The sequence below is a fragment of the Homo sapiens genome, chromosome X, assembly GCF_000001405.40.
Source record: "Homo sapiens chromosome X, GRCh38.p14 Primary Assembly".
Taxonomy (NCBI): Eukaryota; Metazoa; Chordata; class Mammalia; order Primates; family Hominidae; genus Homo; species Homo sapiens.
This window is the reverse complement of record NC_000023.11, coordinates 100,991,246-101,012,094: the sequence shown is the minus strand read 5'-3', so window position 1 is coordinate 101,012,094 and position 20,849 is coordinate 100,991,246. Positions and strand designations below refer to the sequence as shown.

Sequence of the window (20,849 nt, the reverse complement as noted above, 5' to 3'; positions counted from 1 at the left end):
TATATACTTTCTATACTATACTTGTATTATTTTAGCAGATACTCCTTCTACTTATGTTTTAAAAGTTAACTGTAAAACAGCCTCAGGCAGATCCTTCAGGAGGTATTCCAGAAGAAGGCATTGTTATCATAGGAGATGACAGCTCCATGTATGTTATTGCCCCTGAAGACCTTCTAGTGGGACAAGATTTGGAGGTGCAAAACAGTGATATTGATGATCCTGTCCCAGGCTAGAGTATAGTGGTGTGATCTCAGCTCACTGCAACCTTTATCTCCTGGGCTCAAGACATCCTCCCGCCTCAGCCTCCTGAGTAGCTGGCACTACAGGTGCGAGCCACCATGCCCGGCTAGTTTTTGTGTTTTTTGTAGAGACAGGGTTTTGTCATGTGGCCCCGGCTGGTCTCGAACTTCTGAGCTCAAGCAATCCTCTCACCTCAGCCTCCCAAAGTGCTGGGATTTCAGGCATGAGCCACCATGCCCGGACCTTATTTTATTTATTTTTTATTTTTTGGTAACGACAGAGTCTCGCTATGCTGCCCAGGTTGGTATTGAACTCCTGGTTTCAAGTGATTCTCTGGCCTCAGCCCCCAGAGTAGCTAGAAGTACAGGCATGTACTACCACACCCAACTAATTTTAAAATCAGTTAAAAATTAAAATTAGAATTTTGTAGAGATGGGGTCTCACTATGCTGTCCAGGTTGACCAGTTTTTCTACTATATTTTTACAGTACTTTTTAATGTTTAGATATATAAATACTTACCACTGTGTTACAGTTGTCTACAGTATTCAGTACAGTAACATGCTGTACAGATTTGTAGCTGAGGAGAAATAGGCTATAGCATAGAGCCTAGATGTGTAGTAGGCTCTGTCATCTAGATATTTGTAAGTATGCTCTATTATGTTCACACAGTGAAGAAATTGCCTAACAATGCAATTTTCAGAATGTACCCCCATCGTTAAGTGATGCATGACTGTATTGAATATTACCCAGGCAAACAAATACTCTTCTACTTTGCTGGTTGGGATATAAATTGGTACAACCCTTTTTAGAACAGTTTGGTGGTTATGTATCTTAAGGCCTTATAAACATACAGGCTCTTCAGCTCCATTTACCAAATATGTATTGAACCCTTATTCTGTGCCACATACTGGGAACCCAGAGATGAATATTAAGCAGTGTTTACTTCATTTCTACCCTTAAAAAGATTAAAATTCAGTAAGGAAGATGGTGAAGAAAAACGATTATATTAAATAAGATAAATGCTGTATAAGAGAAACACAGGGGGCCTGTGGGAACACAGTGGAAGGGCCTCTATTTTAGGCAATTGTATTCCTGTGGGTTCTTCCTTTTATTCCTGGGAACTGATGCTATGTTCTGTTTCTACAGGCTGTGCTGTCCTCCAGACCCTGCTAAGAAGCTCTTAGGCGAGCCCTTTGTCCTGCAGCAAGCTGTACCTGTGGATTTGTTCCCTCACACCCCACATTGTGAGCTGGTGCTCCTCTTTACTCGATAAGCAGCCTCCTAGAAGACAGCAGGCTATTTGTTAAGGCTGAAGTTTCAGAAACTTTCAGGTTTGGCATATTGCTACATTGCAGACCCTGGGAGCATTACAGTGGAAACCAATCTTTGGTTTGTGAATAGGAAGAATCTATTAGGCCTCTGGTCTGAGGCAGATTTTTTTTTTGAGATAGAGTCTCACTCTTGCCCAGGCTGGAGTGTCGTGGCGTGATCTCAGCTCACTGCAACCTCCGCCTCCCGGGTTCAAGTGATTCTCGTGCCTCAGCTTCCCCAGTAGCTAGGATTAAAGGTGCGTGCCACCATGCCCGGCTAATTTTTGTATTTTTGGTAGAGACAGGGTTTCACCATGTTGGCCAGGCTGGTCTCAAACTCCTGACCTCAAGTGATCCACCCGCCTCGGCCTCTCAAAGTGCTGGGATTATAGGCGTGAGCCACCACACCCCGCCGCGGCTGACTTAACCTTAGATTTCAGATTCCCTTTCAATCATGCCCGTTTGCTTGGGTTTGACCACTCCCCACTCCTGGATCTGGACTGTTTCTTCCTGTTGCTGTCAGCCTTGGTTCTAGTTTATAGTCTTGTCTCCTCCGTTTCTGCTTATGGTGTGGACAAATGACCTTTTTTAAGCAGCTGGTAATAATTTTACATTGACTGGAGCCTGTGCATTTGCTCAGAGATGCTACAATTTTTAGATATTTCTAAGACTTCTGGATTCTTGAGGTAGTTAAGGATTAAAACCAGAAACAGTCGAGGTTTTTTAAAAGCAGGGTAAGCCATGAAGTGAATACAGGGTGACTGAGTGATCATCAGATGAGATTAATTCTTTTGGGTTTTCTTGGTTTTAAGGCATCTCGAATGCCCCTTGAAAATGTAGTTTTCCCTGGTGGTGGGCACCTGTAATCCCAGCTACTCGGGAGGCTGAGGCAGGATAATTGCTTGAACCTGGGAGGTGGAGGTTGCAGTGAGCTGAAATTGTGCCACTGCACTCCAGCCTGGGTGACAGAGTGAGACACCATCTCAAAAAAAAAAAAAAAAAGAAAATGTAGTTATCCCTAGGAGCAATAGCACCAATTAACTCTCACCCGTGGAGGAAGAATTGGTTATTGGAGAGACCCTAAGGGAAAGGAGATTTTCAGAGAGACTGAATACCTATAATTGTGCTGTGTAGTGTGGAGGCAAAAAGCTCCAAAATCTAGTATAACATAATAAACTGGATATTGAAAACTGACTGTATTTAACATTCTCTAGTCCATGATTTCATCAACTCTGGAGTTGTTCTTGGGTACTTGCCCAACAATTTAGATTATGTTTTGATAATCTAAAGGCCTAAGGATGTGTAACTTAGTAAGTGTTGTCTGATTCACAAAGTGATATCAGGTTAACTGGTATTTTTAATTCTTCTCAATCAAACATTCTAGAGAAGCCTCCTTCTTAGAAAAATATGGCTGTTAAAGCTACTATATAATGTTTTCTATTCTTTTTTTAGATGGTGGGTCAGGTATAGCCACAAGAGGAGACACAGGAGAGGCTCAGGAAAACAAAGTCTATTATGCTTACAGGTCCTAGAGACAGGAGACATATTATGCCACATAGGACTACATGGGAAAGACACCAGGGTGGGCAGGAGGCAGAAGACAGAAGAGGGGAAGGTTTAGGCCACTGCCGTTACTTGAGTTTCTTTGGGAAAGGCAATGCAGGGCTGAGTGAACAGTTTAGGATTGGCTACTTTGAATAAGGTATAGGGGTGCTCCCTAGTTGTCTGGTACCTGGCCATGGGGTGATTAGGACACTGGAATGTTGTCTCTTGGGGTGTCCATGCCAGATAGAGGGAATATAGCTCTGAATTGGTTAGTTTGTATATCAAAGAAATCTTCCAGCTGAACCCTTGCTATCTATAAGAATTATCTAGCCCAAGGAGGAGCAGCCAGAAAGATTTATTTTATTTTTATTTTTTTGAGATGGATCCTCACTCTGTCACCCAGGATGGAGTACAGTGGCGTGATCTCAGCTCACTGCAACCTCTCCGCCTCCCGGTTCAAGCGATTCCCCTGCCTCAGCCTCCTGAGTAGCTGGGATTACAGGCGCCTGCCACCACACCCAGCTAATTTTTGTATTTTTAGTAGAGATGGGGTTTCACCATGTTGGCCAGACTGGTCTCGAACTCTTGACCTCAGGTGATCCACCTGCCTCGGCCTCCGAAAGTGTTGGTTTATGGTAGTTGCATAAATTTTTTCCTTTCCTTATTTTTAAATTTTATGTGATGGGTTATATTATTTTTATAATGAAATTTTCAAAAAAGCAATTTTTTTCCATTTATTCCCTGTATCAGCAAATGGCAATACCATCTATATCAATCACTTAAGCCAGAAAACAGAGTTCCTTTTCATTCCTGTATCCAACTACCTATAAGGTAACTTCCTCTTGGATATCTTCTAGATTCTTCAAACTCAATATATCTAATGTTGAATGCTTTCCATCTTTCCCTTAAACATGTTCTTCCTCCTCTATTCTCAGTCTTAATGAATATAACAGTTTACTCAGTCACCCAAGCCAGAGTCTGGGAATGATTTTTGAGTCCTTCTCCTGTACTATTGGCCTCATCCAATTTTTCACAAAGTCGCCATCCCTGCAGGCTTCCATCATCTCTCTCCAGGTTATTGCTGCAATAGTCATCTTCACAACTGTTGCTGCTTGTATTCACTCTTGCCCCAGTTCATTCTAGCACCATGGCACACACCTGAAATACCAGCTAGTGGGGAGGCTGAGGCTGGAGGATTGCTTGAACCCAGGAGTTCAAGACCAGCCTGGACAATATAGCAAGACCCTCTTAAGAAAAAATGCAAATCTCATGTTTCTCCATTACTTAAAATCTGTCATTGGCTTCCTGTTGCTTTTATTTTATTTTATTTAGTTAGTAATTTTGAGACACAGTCTCATTCTGTCACCCAGGCTGGAGTGCAGTGGTGCAATCTCAGCTCACTGCAACCTCTGCCTCCTGGGTTCAAGCAATTCTCGTGCCTCAGCCTCCCAAGTAGCTGGGATAACAGGCGTGTGCCATCATGCCTGGCTCATTTTTTTTCTTTTTGTATTTTTAGTAGAGGCAGGGTTTCATCTTGTTGACCAGGCTGGTCTCGAACCGCTGACCTCAAATGATCCACCCACCTTGGCCTCCCAAAGTGCTGGGATTACAGGCATGAGCCACTGCACCCAGCCAACTTCCTATTGCTTTTAAAATAAAGTCCAACATTATTGATGAAGCTCAAAAGCCACTTCATAATCTGAAGAACTCCATTTCTCTAGATATATTGGATTCCTTTCCCTGAAAAGGAGAAAGTTCTTCCCTTTTGGTCCTATTTACATTCTGTTTCCTCAGCTTGGAATATTCTTTTCCCTAACTCTTCTGGTTTACTCTATTTACCTTTCTGTTTTTAACTTAAATATTCCTCCTTCAAGGAATATTTAATGAATAAATACAGGATTGGCTATGGAAAATCAACTTCCTCATAATTTTGTTACTTGTTTATAGTTATGCCCTCAGAGATATTGCAGGTTTGGTTCCAGATTGCCACAACAAAGTGAATATCTCAATAAAGCAAGTAATGTGAATTTTATGGTTTCCCAGTGCATATAAACATTGCTTATACTATAGTCTATTAAGTGTGCAATATCATTATATCTAAAAAACCAGTGTATGTACCTTAATTAAAATGTACTTTATTGCTTTAAAAATGCTAAAAATCATCTGAGTCTTTAGTGAGTCATAATTTTTTTTTTTAAGACAGAGTCTTGCTTTGTTACCCAGGCTGTAGTGCAGTAGCGCCATCATGGCTCACTGCCACCTTGAACTCCGGGGCTCAAGGGATCCTCCTATCGCAGCCTCCCAAGTAGCTGGGACTACACGTGTTTGCTACCATGCCTGGCTATTTTTTAATTTTTTTGTAGTGATAAGATCTCACCATCTTGCTAAGGCTGGTCTCAAACTCCTGGACTCAAGCAATCCTCCCACCTTAGCCTCCCAAAGTGCTGAGATTACAGGCATGAGCCACTGCGCCCGGCCAACTCTTCATCTTTAGATCCCTCATCTGTCTGTATAAGGTATACAGATACATGTATACCTTATACATCTATCTTCTAAGCATAAGGACATTTTTCTACATAACCATTATATTATGAGTTCAACTAAGAAAATTAGCAGTACCTCACTAATCTTCACTAATGTCATCTAATGTAGTTCAGTGCTTCTTGAGGTGTGGTCTGGAGACTGCCTGATGTTTCACAAAAAGATAAGGAGTTTATACCAAAGTGTGTATCATAGTACCACATTCTTTTTCTTTTTCTTTTTCTTTTTGACATGGAGTCTCACTCTGTCACCCAGGCTGGAGTGCAGCAGCGCGATCTCGGCTCACTGCAACTTCCGCCTCTCCGCCTCCTGGGTTCAAGTCGTTTCTCTCGCCTCAGCCTCCTGAGAGGCTGGGATTACAGGTGTGTGCTACCACACCCGGCTGATTTTTGTATTTTTAGTAGAGACGGGGTTTCACCATGTTGGCCAGGCTGGTCTTGAACTCCTGACCTCAGGTGATCCACCCACCTCGGCCTCCCAGAGTGCTGAGATTACAGGTGTGAGCCACCGCACCTGGCCCACATTCTTTTTCTTTTTTTCTTTTCTCTCTTTCTTTTTTTTTTTTTTTTTTTTTTTTGAGTGGGAATCTTGCTCTGTCACCCAGGCTGGAGTGCAGTGGCACAATCTTGGCTCACTACAACCTCTGCCTCCTGGGCTCAAGCAATTCTCGTGCCTCGGCCTCCCGCTTAGCTGGGATTATAGGCATGCGCCATCATGCCTGGCTAATTTTTTTTTGTATTTTTAGTAGAGATGGGGTTTCACCATGTTAGCCAGGCTGGTCTTGAACTACTGACCTCAAGTGATCTGCCCGCCTCGGCCTCCCAGAGTGCCAGAGTACCACATTCTTTATCAAAAAAGTCTTTTTCAAAAAAAAAAAAAAAAAAGGCAGCTGAATTACACAGTGTACTGACTTAGCGACATTGTTCATTTACATCTGTGGACTGGCAGGGTAGCACTGCTTTATATTCAATTTCCCCAACTGTCCCCAAAATGTTTTTTATGGCCAATTCACATGTTACATTTGGTGGTTTTGTCTGTGTCTCTTTAGTATCTCTTTTTTTTGGGAGATGGTCTTGCTCTGTCACAGCCCAGGCTGGAGTGCAGTGACACGATCTCAGCTCACTGCAACCTCCACCTCCTGAGTTCAAGTGATTCTCCTGCCTCAGCCTCCCGAGTAGCTGGGATTACAGGTGTGTGCCACCACACCTGGCTAATTTTTGTATTTTTAGTAGAGATGGGGTTTCACCATGTCGGCTAGGCTGGTCTTGAACTCCTGACCTCAAGTGATGCACCCACCTTGGCCTCCCAGAATGCTGGGATTACAGGCATGAGCCTCCGTGTATGGCCTCTTTAGTCTCTCTTAATCTAGAATGATCTCCTCACTTTTTCTTTTTACCCAAGGCACTGACTTTTTAGAAACCAGGTCTGTTCCACATTATGGATTTGTCTGATTTTAAGGTGACCAACTGTCTTGGTTTGCCTAGGACTCTCCTAGTTTGAACACTGATCTTACATCCTGAGAAACCCCTCAGTCCTGGGTAAACCAGGATGTTTTGTTTACGTGTGTTCATGTTTAACTTTTTCTTGACCTAAATTTCTTATAAACTTGAAGTTAGGTCTAGTGGCTTGATTAGACTCACATTAAAACATTTTTGATGGCCGGGCACGGTTGCCCACATCTGTAATCCCAGCACTTTAGGAGGCCGAGGCGGGCAGATCACCTGAGATCGGGAGTTTGAGACCAGCCTGACCAACATGGAGAAACCCCATCTCTACTAAAAATACAAAATTAGCTGGGCATGGTGGTGCACGCCTATGATCTCAGCTACTTGGGAGGCTGAGGCAGGAGAATTGCTTGAACCCGGGAGGTGGAGATTGCAGTGAGCTGAGATTGTGCCATTGCACTCTAGCCTGGGCAACAAGAGCAAAACTCCATCTCAAAAAAAAACAAAAACAAAAACGAAACAAAACACATTTTTGACAAGAATACTTAAGTGGTCTGTGGGCAGTGGCTCAGGTGGAGGCAGGAGGATCACTTAAGCCCAGGAGTTGAAGACCAGACCCAGCCTGGGTAACGTAGAGAACCAAATCTTGAGAACCAAAATATGGTTTTTTTTTTCTGTGTGATAGGGTTTTATATCAGTTTTAAACATTTTTTTGAGGGTTTGTTGTTGTTGTTGTTGTTGTTGTTGTTTTCCCAAAAACAGTGTCATGAAGGAAAGTTTTAAAATCTTTTTCTCCAACTTGGGCAATATGGCAAAACCCTATCTCCACAAAAAATAAAAAAATTATCCAGGCACAGTGGTGCACACGTGTAGTTCCAGCTACTTTTGGAGGCTGAGGCAGAAGAATTGCTTGAGCCTGGGAGGTGGAGGCTGCAGTGAGCCATGGTTTTACCACTGTATTTCAGCCTGCATGACAGAGCAAGACCCTGTCTCAAAAAAATCCAAAATTTAACAATTAGCTGGACGTGGTGGTGCATGTCTGTAGTCCCAGGTACTTAGGAGGCTGAGGTGGGAGGATTGCTTCAGCCCAGGAGGTTGAGGCTGCAGTGAGCCATGATGGTGCCACTGCACTCCAGCCTGGGTGACACAGCAAGATCCTGTCTCAAAAAACAAAACAACACAAAACAAAAACAAAAACACCCCCAAAACTTAAAGTGATGGTATGTACTTCATGTTGCATCCCATTAGGAGGTACATTATTTCAGTTGCTCACTTGTAGTAAAGGTGATGGTTAGGTTGATGGCCCTCAGAACTCTCCATGTAATTTTCCTCTTTGTAATTAATAAGAAATCTGTGGGATGTTGGCTGGGTGCAGTGGCTCATGCCTGTAATCCCAGCACTCTGGGAGGCTGAGGCAGGTGGATTACCTGATGTCAGGAGTTCAAGACCAGCCTGGACCAACATGGTGAAACCTTATCTCTACTAAAAATACAAAAATTAGCTGGGCGTGGTGGCACACACCTGTAATCCCAGCTACTTGGGAGGCTGAGGCAGGAGAATCGCTTGAACCCAGGAGGCGGCGGTTGCAGTGAGCTGAGATTGTGCCATTGTACTCCAGCCTGGGCAACAAGAGCGAAACTCCATCTCAGAAAAAAAAAAAAAAAGCTATCGGATGTCACTCTAATGCCATGTGACTATCCTGTTTCCCAATAACCTCTTCCCTAAAGATTTTAGCATCCGTTGATTACTGTTTCCTGACTCAGTCATTTAATATTTTTTAATTTTTTAATTTATTTTGGTCAGATGCAGTGGCTCACACCTGTAATCCCAGCACTTTGGGAGGCTGAAGCTGGAGGATTTCTTGAGTACAGGAGTTTGAGAACAGCCCTGGGGAATATGGTGAGACCATGTCTCTACCAAAAAAAAAAAAAAAAGCTTGGCATGGTGGCACGCACTTCTATTTTCAACTACTTGGGGGTCTGGGGTAGGAGATTAGCTTGAGCCTGAGAGGTAGAGGCTGCAGTAAGCCATGACCAGATTGTGTCACTGAACTCCAGCCTGGGTGGCAGAGCAAGACCCTGTCTCAAAAACAAATGATTGCTTTCTAACTTTTTTATTTTCGTGTACCCACTGATGGTAAATTAATAATTTAATTGGGGATTGAAAAGCCATGATTTCCTAATTCTGTCAATCGGTCTGTGTTTATTAGCTGTCACTTTTTTTTTTTTTTTTTGAGACAGAGTTTTGCTCTTGTTTCCCAGGCTGGAGTGCAATGGTGCGATCTCGGCTTACTGCAACCTCTGCCTCTCGGGTTCAAGCAGTTCTCCTGCCTCAGCCTCCCAAGTAGCTGAGATTACATGCACCTGCCACCAGGCCCAGCTAATTTTGTATTTTTAGTAGAGATGGGATTTCACCATGTTGGCCAGGCTGGTTTCGAACTCCTGACCATAGGTTATCCACCCACCTCGGCCTCCCAAAGTGCTGGGATTACAGGCGTGAGCCACTGTACCCAGCCAGCTGTCACTCTTTTATAAAAATGAGCTTTTCCCTTTCTAGAGGGTATGAACTAGAGTTCCTCCAAAAAAGCCAGGTAAAGACCTAAGTCTTTCCCTTTTAATACCAATTTTTAGAGCAAGAAGTTAGTATAATAATTGCTTCCTAATAATTACTATGGTGACTGTATGGTAAATGCACCTGATAGCAATAACTGAAGATAGCAATAGCCTGAGAATGGCCCCGTATGGCAGATGCACCTGAATGCGATAGGGAGTTTCCAGCTCAGGAACCCAGAGATCCATTTCTGATCTATGGGGAACATCTGAGCTCCTGGCCTGTCCCGTGAAATGCAGGCCATACGGGGAATTGAGGCCCTTTGTTTTGGTTTAAATGAAGGTTGCCAGCTGCAGGTTGTTAGGGGGAGGGTGTTAGGTGAAAATGCTATATAAACCCCATGCATTTGCAAGTGGTTGCAGTTCCGTCCAGCCCATCACCACTGGAGTCTCCCTTGAATGTAAGACCCCAGTTAAAAACAAAAAAGCAAACAAACAAAAAAACACCATGTCTTGTTTGCTGTCTCTGGATCTGTTCTTTGGCCTCTTGAATCTGGTTCTGTCCAAATTGGAGTTGACAGTGGTCTGGCACAATAGTGGCAAAGTTGTTTCCCCCTGCTTTTTTTTTTTTTTTTTTTTGAATATCACTTGATTCGGTGATTTGCTTATTTGAATTCCGTGTTTTAAGCTCAGTTCAATTATTTTCCTTTTGATGCTCAAATTTTCTACAGTTTGACCAGTGGGAGTCCCTTCAGCTGGCTCTCATGTCACTTAACATGCCTCCATTAGTATTTGAGTACTTCCTTAGATTCTGGCACAAGATTCCCAGGGTCACTTTACATTTTCCTTGCCCTAGTCCTGGAACCAGCCATTTCCAATGAACCCTGGTTCCTTTCAGTGTAGAATGGTGTTTAGAAACCAAGATCCGGGCTGGGTGCAGTGACTCACGCCTGTAATCCCAGCACATTGGGAGGCTGAGGTGGGAGGACTGTTTGCATCCAGGAGTTTGAGACCAGCCTGGTCAACATAGCGAGACCTCCATCTCCACACACACAAAAAAATTTTCCAGGCATGGTGGTGTGTGCCTGTAGTCCCAGCTACTGAGGAGGATGAGGCGGGAGGATTACTTGGGCCTGGGAGGTCGAGGCTCCAGTGAGCCATGATTGTACCACTGCACTCCAGCCTAGGTAACAGCGTGTGGCCCAGTCTCAAAAAATATATAAAAAATATTGATGCCTGGGCCCCAGACATTCCAATTTAATTGGTTTGGGGAGGGTCTTAGTCATCAGTCTTTTTAAAATTACTGTCCACCCTGCCCGGTGATTCTAGTATGCAGTCAAGGTTGTGAACCAGTAGTCAAGATTTACCTGTCAAAGTGTGATCCCTGGACCAGCAGCTTTGGCATCACCTGGAAACTTGTTAGAAATGCACACATTTGGGCTCTCCCTCAACTGAATCAGAAACACTGGGGCTAGGGCAATCTAATTTAACATGTCTTTCAGGTGATTCTGGTGTGCATTCAAATTTAGGAACCACTGGTTCAGAGCAACTATTCTCAGCCTTGGTTGCACATCACCTGGAGACCGTCAAAAACAAGTTCCTGAGTGTCATCACTTCACATTCTGATTTAATTCATTTTGGGTGTAGCCCTATCATCATTATTTTAAAAGCTCTCCAGATGACTGTTGTGTAGCCAAGGATGAGAATCACGTTGGATTTTTGGTCTCTAAGCCTGGTGTTTGGTGTGATGAGTAAAAGTGCACACCAGGTTGCAGATAAAACGTAACTACAGTAGTTGGGTAATACATAGGCCAGATAGCTTGTCTTTCTGCTTGCTACTCTTCTAGACTTACCCAGGTGTTCTGAGCACTGGTTTGCAGTCCTTTGCAAAGGTTTTTATTTCTTTAAAGCACTTCCTTTCTCATTCCTTCTGCCATTATTTTGGGGGGTGTGGTAGAAAGTAGGGCTAAGGTATCATCAGCTACTAGTAATTCTAGCGAAAGATTATAATTCCTAGCCTAAGTTAATAAAATTAGCTCTCAGGCCGGGTGCGGTGGCTCGCGCCTATAATCCCAGCACTTTGGGAGGCCAAGGCAGGTGGATCACCTGAGGTCAGAAGTTCCAGACCAGCCTGGCCAACATGGTGAAACCCCATCTCTACTAAAAATACAAAAAATTAGCTGGGCACGGTGGTGGGCGCCTGTAGTCCTAGCTACTCAGGAGGCTCAGGCAGGAGAATCACTTGAACCCAGGAGGTGGAGGTTGCAGTGAGTGGAGATTGCGCTATTGCACTCCAGGCTGGGCAACAAGAGCAAAACTTCATCTCAAAAAAAAAAAAAAAATTAACTCTCATACATGTGAGAGAAAAGTGAACTCATTTTAATATTAAAGTAGAACAGTTATCCTCAGCCTGATTCCCACTCCTCTTCTAGAACAGGCTTCTTCTCATTAGGCTCATCTTAGAGTTGCTGAACCAATGAGTGCAAATTTTGTCATTGCCTTTTCAGATTTGGAGTTTCACCTACTATGGTGGTTTCCAGCCTTGGCTGCACATCATTGGAATCACCTGAGGGATCTTTTTACAAAACTTCCTAGTTCCTGGGATTTGATCCTCCAGAGATTCTGATTTAATTGGTCTGGGGTGTGGCCCAAACATCTGAATTTTTAAAAGATCCCCAAGGTGATTCTAATTTGCAGTCAGTCAGGGTTATGATCCTCTGATAAGGGCTGTGGTTCCCAAACTTGTATGTATATTAAAATCTCCCAGGGATCTTTCCAAACTTCCAAGTGCAGACCATGTCCAGACCAGCTGAGTCATCACAATCACTGGAGGTGGGACACAGGCGTTGGTAATATTAAAATTTCCCCGGTGATTCCCATATGCAGCCAGCATTGAGAAGTACAGTATTATGGTATTAGATAATGCCCTTTGATTGTTTTTGGGCTGGAAGGGAGAAGATGATTGTCATTTGTTGAGATGTAAGTCTTCCAACCCTTTATCTTCAAAATCACATTGGAAATTTATAGCTTACAGGGGCATCATTGTCACTTTCCTAAGGAATATATTTCAAAATGGCATGCCCATAAAGTGCAGTCATGAAGCTCCCTTAGTACTTGCCAATTAATGTTAGTGCAAAAGGACAATTGAAATGAAATACAGCTATTATGTCTGACACTTAACAATTTTCCATCAGGTGATTCTATTTCATTAATACATGTATTTCCACATTGTTTCTCATTGTCTCTCTTCAAAGGAGACTAAGCAGGGTGGCAGTGCCCACATGTGGCCCAGAGCCACACAATGGAGGAACATGTAAATATCCTCAAGTCCATTTGTGACTGTTAGGGACATTCATGATACATGGAGGGGAGAGGCCTTTGCTCTGAGGATCTACAAAAGGAATTGAAATATTTCAGGATATTGGTATTTACCATTTGCCTTTACTGATTACCTTTATACGTAACCAAGCCAAGGAATATCAGAGAGGGCTATACTAAACTGTTTAGTAGTCTGTCTCCTCCAACTAGACTGTAAGGTTTAAGAGGACAAGAGCTATATCTTGGTCACTGTTGTATATGTAACACCTAGCACAGTGTCTGAAATATGGCAGGTGCTTAGATAGGCGATATAGCATACTGGCCAAGCAGAGCAGTTTTGGAGTCAGGCTGACCTGGCCTAAATCCTGACTCTATCACTTACATGCTCTGTGATCTAGGACAAGTTACTTGACCTCTCCAATGCTCTTTTTACCACCCATCTCCATGTAAAATAAGGATAATAATAGCACTTATCTCATGGAGATTGCTGTGACCAATTAGTGAAACAATCTGTGTATATATAAAACACTTTGCAAATTGCTTGGCACATAGCATGCATGAAATGGGTGTCGTTTTTTTTTTTTTTTTTTTGCGACAGAATCTCGCTCTGTCGCCCAGGCTGGAGTGTGGTGGCACCATCTTGGCTCACTGCAACTTCCACCTCCTGGGTTCAGGTGATTCTTCTGCCTCAGTCTCCCGAGTAGCTGGGATTACAGGCATGCGCCACCACGCCTGGCTAATTTTGTAATGGGTGTCATTCTTAATCATCCGATTATTTGTTGACAAATAAATGAATGTCATAGCCTGCTTTCCCTTCCCATTATTGAGATTAACTGGCAAAAATAATTTGTTTCCTGTAAGTTTTCTTCTTTTTTTTTTTTTTTTTGAGATGGAGTCTCACTCTGTCACCCAGGCTGGAGTGCAGTGGCATGATCCTGGCTCACTGCAACCTCTGCCTCCCGGGTTCAAGTGATTCTCCTGCCTCAGCCTCCTGAGTAGCTGGGATTACAGGCATGTACCACCACGCCCGGCTAATTTTTGTATTTTTAGTAGAGATGGGATGGGATTTCACCATGTTGGCCAGGCTGGTCTCAAACGCCTGACCTCAAGTGATCCGCCCACTTCAGCTTCCCAAAGTGCTGGGATTACAGGCGTGAGCCACTGCACCAGGCCAATTTTCTGTGTTTTCAATAATTAATTTTAGGCAAGTCAAACCAAACACATCGCAGAGTCCCTTCCCTGTTGGTGTGGGTGTTTCTCAGCATTTATGTTTTAGTCAAATATTACAGCTTTTAGTAAAAATTTATATACGGTTTGAAGAAAAATGAAGCATAGAAAGCAGACAAGGAAGGCTATTTCTCTCATTTTGTCACCTTCATAATGTTGGTTGCTAAAAATAACCTACTTGTCAAATCATTTTGTACTACTGCGAGAAGTGCTAATGTAAGACATGTTTTCTGAAAATAACTGTGATGAGGCGTCTTGGATTAAGGGCTTTGGTACAGAAGTGATGGAGTTCCCTTCTGGGTAGAGTGGCTCAGGATCATAACTTGCTTAGAACACCTACTAGCTTACCCTTTCAACTCCTTAAGAGGAAACCTGTTTGTAGGATTTTTTTTGTAAACTAACCAATCTATAAATGTTGTATGGGATCCTGAATTAAATCTTGAACAACAACAACAAAAAGGACATTAGTGAAAACACCGAAGTCTAAATAAAGTCTGTTGTCTAGTAACTAGTATGATGATAATGTTAATGTGATAGTTTTGATCAGTGTACCAGAAGATGAGATGCTACCGTTAGGGGAAGCTAGGTGAAGGGTATACATGAACTTTCTGAACTACAGTTACAACTCTTGAGTAAATCTAAAATTATTTCAAAATGCAAAGTTAAAAGAAACTAACTATAGTCTTTGGAAAACTAAATATACTGATTGAAAGCTAATTCTAGAAAAACCAGGTCTGGAAAGGTGTTAAGGCCACATCTCGAGGGAGAGAATTTTACTCACTCAGATACCCAGATATGTGCTAGATGTTTGACTGACTGTAAGTACCAACCCTGACAAGGTGACAAGAGGGGTAGTGTGCAACAATTCTTTTACAAATATGGAACTTATAGAAGCCTATCAAAAAAAAAATCTAGTTCCTTTCTTTCCATATAAGCAAGGCTAGTTCAAAACACAGTGGCCCAACTAAAAGAGGTTCAATATAAGTTATTTTTTGGTTTTTTGTTTTTTGAGTAGCGTCTCACTCTGTTGCCCAGGCTGGGTACAGTGCTGTGATTATAGCTCACTGCAACCTCAGTCTCCTGGGCTCAAGTGACCCTTTTTTTTCAGCCTCCTGAGTAGCTGGGACTACAGGCATGTGCCAACATGCCTGGCTAATTTTTGATCGTTAGTAGAGATGAGGTCTCGCTATGTTGCCCAGGCTGGAAATGTAAATTTTCTTAATCTCCCATCTTAGACTTATTTGGTCGGCTTGGAGTTAGGAAGGAATTTCTCACTGTAGTGCCAAACCTGAAATGGTAATTGTGTTTGAGCAAGTTCCCTGAACATAAGGGGGCGAGGGGAGGAAGAGGAACGATCCAGGCCATTTTTGTTGATACATAATAGTTGCACATATTTTTTCATGTGATGTTTCGATATATGCATACAATGTGTAATGATCAGATCAGGGTAATTGAGATATTTGTTGCCTCAAACATTTTTTCTTTGTTGGGAATGTTTAAACTCTTCTAGCTGTTTTGAAATATACAATAAATGATTGTTAACTATAGTCACCCTACTGTGCTATTGGACATTAGAACTTATTCCTTCTATTATAACTGTATGTTTGTATTCATTAACCGACATCTCTTTCTCCGCTCCCCGCTCCACCCTTCCCAGCCTCTGGTATCTATCATTCTATTCTCTACCTCCATGAGATAACTTTGTTAGCACCCAAATATGAGTGAGAACATACGATATTTGTCTTTGTGTGCCTGGCTTATTTCATTTAACATAATGACCTCTAGTTCCATCCACGTTGCTCCAAATGATGGGGCACCAGCCCCCTTAGTATTCAGTTCTCCTTTAGTCCCTGAACCACATTATCAGTGGAGTTAACTCCTGTGTTAGCTAAAAGACAGGTGTCTTTGTAACCTAGTGTAATCAGCATGACAATTTTCTAAAAAAAAAAAAATGTATATTAAGAATGTGTTGGAGTAGGGGGTGTGGAATGTAAAAGAACTGTGGAACTCTTCATTCTTTTAAGTTCTTTAGAGAAGTGCTCTTATATGTATGCTTTACATAGTTAGGATCAGCATGTATATCTGCTCTTTCCTATTCTGCTGTTTTCACTTAACATTATTTCACATTCTGGTTTCCACCCACACAGTGCACATAATTGCCATCTTTAATGGCTGTGTAACATTCCATTGTATTGAATAGCATGCCAGTTGTTAGGACCGGGCTTATTTTTCTGAGCAGATCTAAAGGCCTGCTGTCTCATAGCACCAGAGGTCTATTTTAGTTCCTGGATGTGGCGACTAGCATGAGCGTGGGATCGCGTGGGATTCCTGAGTCATCAGTGCACAGCACAGCCTGAGTGCTTTGTTAACATTGCTCTCCCACCACCCAACAGCAGAGCCACCTCAGCCTCCCTGGACCAGATCCTGGCACTTACTGGGCACAGGGGTGGAAGTACATTCCCCCTGAGCTGATATTATCTATGTGCCAATAGCAGAAAGCATCTGCCACCTTCTCCTTCCTGGGATAACAATTGTTTCCTCCAGAGCTTGACATGAGAAAAAAGGCAAGGGGAGTGGGAGAACATTTTATTACAGCTGAAGGAATAAGGTACAGATCAGGGGTGCCATGGCTATAGTTCTTTTAGTTGCAGCTATAAAAATACAGCGGGATGAGGGGATGGTTTCAGTATTGGAAAGTTGGGTGACAGTTCTCATTCTCTATACACTTTCATGTCAGAAATTTAAGTTTTGGTCTTCCAATAAAGGGTTTACAGGGTTGAGTAACAAAGCAGTGAGTCCAGGCTTGACCCTTAAGTCAGTCATAGCCATCTTATGGTTAAGAATACTAGTTGGCAGGATTCTCCTGAGAAGAGTGATGTTGTGTTGAGTGCACTTATTACATCTTGCCAGTAGCAACTGCCTTGAAAATAAGTGATTTGAAGATGTTATTGAGAGGAAAGAACAATATTCAAAACACAACTGGGGCTGGGCACAGTGGCTCACACCTGTAGTCTCAGCACTTTGGGATGCCAAGGTGGGAGGATTGCTTAAGCCCAGGAGTTCGAGGTTGCAGCAAGCTATGACTGTGGCACTGCGCTACAATCTGGGTGATAGAGCAAGACCCTGCCACTAAAACAAAAATAAAAACACAACTGGTATGGCCCAAACACCCAACACTTGAATCTCTGGGGGATTTATAACTAGTTTAGCTACTACTGGTTTCCATGCTCCAACCCTGAATTATCACTGTTCTTTCTTAACCTTTGCTGCGTGCTAACTATATGACTCATTTCCTACAGAGGTCATAGATTGCTTAACAACCCTGCTGACAGAGTGCTACTGGCAGGTAGACCTAACACATGAATGACAAGTGAGGACTGGAGTGCAGGAATTGAAAACCATTCAGAGCAGAAGGACCTCTCTACCTATTCATAGTGAATTCTCTAGTCAGAAAGCCCAGGTCTGTCCCTGAAAGATAAGATAGAAACATACCCAGAGCCATATGAGTGAATGATAGGCCAGGGTCATTCATAAGCTGCAAGTGCCTCTGACGGGAGCTACATTCTAAACATCTTGGAGAGTGACCAAGACATTGACAACTAAAGAAAAGAAACCCCAAGGCAACCACTTGCCTTTAAGAAAATTTGCCCTCCAGGCTCAAGAAACTATCCATTTCTTGGTCCCTGGGCTGCCCCACTGAGAAAGAGATTTGTAAAACCTCTTTGGCAGATTTAGGATTCTGAAAGAGAAAAATATGGGAGGCGTTGGTTGTAATTACCCTAGATTCTCTATTCACTTTGTACTTGACAGTCTAAGACATCTCTCTTTGGGTTGTTTTCTACAGAAAAGTGGATACCTATCCCAGAAGGGGGACTATAGCTTTCTAATGATCTCACCGAGCTCCTTCCCTAAATCAACATAATAGTAGCTAATATTTAATATCCTACTTAGGGTGTGCCAGGCACTATTCTAAACATTTTTGTGTGTATCATCCCTTTTAAACTTTACAGCAGGCCTTTGAGGTAGGCACTGTTATTCCTGCCTTCACTGGGGGAAATTGCCTGGTCACCCAGCTTGGTAAGAGGTTTGGAAAGTATATTAACAGCCTGTAGCAACACAATTAAGATTCACTCAAAAAGAGATTTTTTTTCTTTACATGACTAAGGGTACACTGATTGTATTGGGAGGAGGGTATCTAAATAACTTTTTGTGATTGATAGATTCTATGTAGGAAAATTTGGTTGACACCCAGGAACACCTACATTGCACAAAAGGAAGTATGCCAATATACTGAAATTCAGTTGTGTTAGATGTTGTTCAACTTAGATTCTTCACCCAGCTCACCTTCATAGGGTACAATCCCATCCCTTTTTCCCATCCACTTTCTCTTCTCTATTGGCTGAGAAAGTATGCCTGCCTCATAAACACACATGTTATAAAATGTGCATGATCCAATTTTCTTACGGTTTGTTGATTCGTAGTCTCCTGCCTCATAAAACTCTTATTCAGGAGAGAGATTTGTTGCATCCCCAGGTGAGAATGATTGTCAGCAGAATTCTCCAGCGATATTTATCAGGCAAATTGGAGGAAGGTAGATGGGCTGAAAGGCCAAAGAAGACCCAGGGAGGATACAGTATTTTTGAACAGAGTAGAGCACTGGCTTGGGCACATGAGATCTGGATTTTTAGGAGCAGCTCTGCCAGCCATCAGCTGTACCATCTTGGGCAAGCCACTTAACCTCTCTGCACCTCAAGTTCCTCATTTTTATAACAACAGGGGTTGGACCAGAGGCTCTGTAAGGTTCCTTTCAGCTTCATAATTCTAAGCTGTGCCTCAGTCAGAATCCTATCAAAGACCTATAAGGTGCTTGGGATGGTTTCCTTGAAGATAAGAGCAAATGATGCAACCATCTACAGTGTCAGACCTTCCAGATGGGGTTGTAAGAGGGATCTTTCTGTACAAAGTTTCTATCCCTCAGAAGCAGTTATGAGTTAGTTCATTTATACTGCTTGGTGAGATGGTATAGGGTAGAGCAAGGGTTATGGAGTAGGACCTTAGTTTGAAAACCATTTCTGCCACCTCCTGTCCCAGGGTCCCCAGGGAAAAATTATTTAACCTCTCTGAACATCATTTTCTGCCTCTGTAAGATGGTGGTGGTAGAATCAACTTCAGAGGGTTTTGAAGATGAAAGGTAATTATATATATAAAGCACTTAGCCCAGCACCTGGCAAAATGGAAGTGCTGAATCAACAATGTGTGCTACCACTATTGGTGTGCTTATTGATATTAACTTAATTCTCCTGACACGGGCATGGATATACTTCAACATTTTTTTTTTGAGACCGAATCTTACTCTGTTGCCCAGGCTGGAGTGCAGTGGTGCAATCTCGGCTCACTGCAACCTCCACCTCTGGGGTTCAAGCGATTCTCCGACCGCAGCCTCCCAAGTAGCTGGTGTTACAGGCTCGTGCCACCATGCCCGGCTAATTTTTGTATTTTTAGTAGAGATGGGGTTTCACTATATTGGCCAGGCTAGTCTTGAACTCCTGACCTCAAGTGATCCACCTGCCTTGGCCTCCCAAGGTGCTAGGCATGAGCCACTGCACCCGGCCAGCATTTTTTCTTAAATAAAGCTTTCTCTTTCTTTCTGGCTTTAAGTAGCTCTAGAGTCAGAAAGATCGGGATTGAATTCCCTGCTCTGCTTTTTTTTTTCCTCACCCCCAAATTTTAAAATTCAATTTAATTTCTAAATTGATATATATGTACACATTTTGTGGGTATGTATGATAATACATCATCTAATTTATGAAGATCAAATCAGTGTAATTGGGATATCCATCACCTTTAATATTTGCCTTTATGCTAGAACATTTGAGTTATTCTCTTCAAGCTATTTTGAAGTATACAATAGATGATTATAGTCACCCTACCAATCTGTCAAACTGTATATATGTATCCATTAATCAGCCTCTCTTCATCTCCCGCCCCAACCCCCACCGCCCCGCACTTTCCTGTCCTCTGGAAACTGCCAGTCTATTCTCTATCTTCATGAGATCCACTTTTTTTGTAAGCTCCCACATGTGAGTGAGAACATCCTGCTCTGCTTTTTGTAGGCAGTGGGACCTTGGGCAAATTTGACTTTTCTGCCCCTTAGTTTCCTCATCTGTGAAATGCAGTCAGGTATAGTGCTTACCCCCAAGGGTTGTTGTGAATAAGATAATGGAAATAAAGAATTTAGCACTGTGGGCCGGGCGCGGTGGCTCATGCCTGTAATCCCAGCACTTTGGGAGGCCGAGGCGGGCGGATCACGAGGTCAGGAGATCGAGACCATCCTGGCTAACACGGTGAAACCCCGTCTCTACTAAAAATACAAAAAGCTGGCCGTGGTGGTGGGCGCCAGTAGTCCCAGCTACTTGGGAGGCTGAGGCAGGAGAATGGCGTGAACCCAGGAGGTGGAGCTTGCAGTGAGTCGAGATCACGCCGCTGCACTCCAGCCTGGGAGACAGTGAGACTCTGTCTCAAAACAAAACAAAACAAAACAAAAACTTAGCACTGTGCCTGGCATCCAGAATGCACTCAATAAATGGTGGCTGTGCTGCTCATGGTGAAGGTAATATAGATTGAGCATCCCTAATGTGAAAATCCAAAATCCAAAATCTTCTAAAATTAGAAA

At 42.8% G+C, this 20,849-nt stretch overlaps 1 protein-coding gene across 13 annotated transcripts in view, besides 1 other annotated feature; it reads left to right on the top strand.

Annotated features, from left to right (window-relative positions):
• TRMT2B (tRNA methyltransferase 2B) overlaps nt 1-20,849 on the top strand; it is a 78,746-nt gene that overhangs the window by 40,017 nt on the left and 17,880 nt on the right. For 12 of the 13 annotated variants that reach the window (XM_005262196.3, NM_001167970.2, NM_001167971.2 and 9 more), the window contains one exon: nt 1,388-2,745. In XM_005262196.3, the coding sequence (XP_005262253.1) occupies nt 1,388-1,514 (127 nt within the window). In that variant the 3' untranslated portion in view covers nt 1,515-2,745. Of the gene's footprint in view, nt 1-1,387; nt 2,746-20,849 lie in introns of those variants that run through there. The other variant, XR_001755729.3, reaches the window with a different exon arrangement.
• Nucleotides 20,558-20,753: a silencer, noted in NCBI's record as "fragment chrX:100246331-100246526 (GRCh37/hg19 assembly coordinates)". NCBI's record gives its function as "represses an EF-1alpha promoter that drives an FKBP-Casp9 reporter gene in an ReSE screen in K562 erythroleukemia cells {active_cell/tissue: K562}" and the evidence as "EXISTENCE:reporter gene assay evidence [ECO:0000049][PMID:32094911]".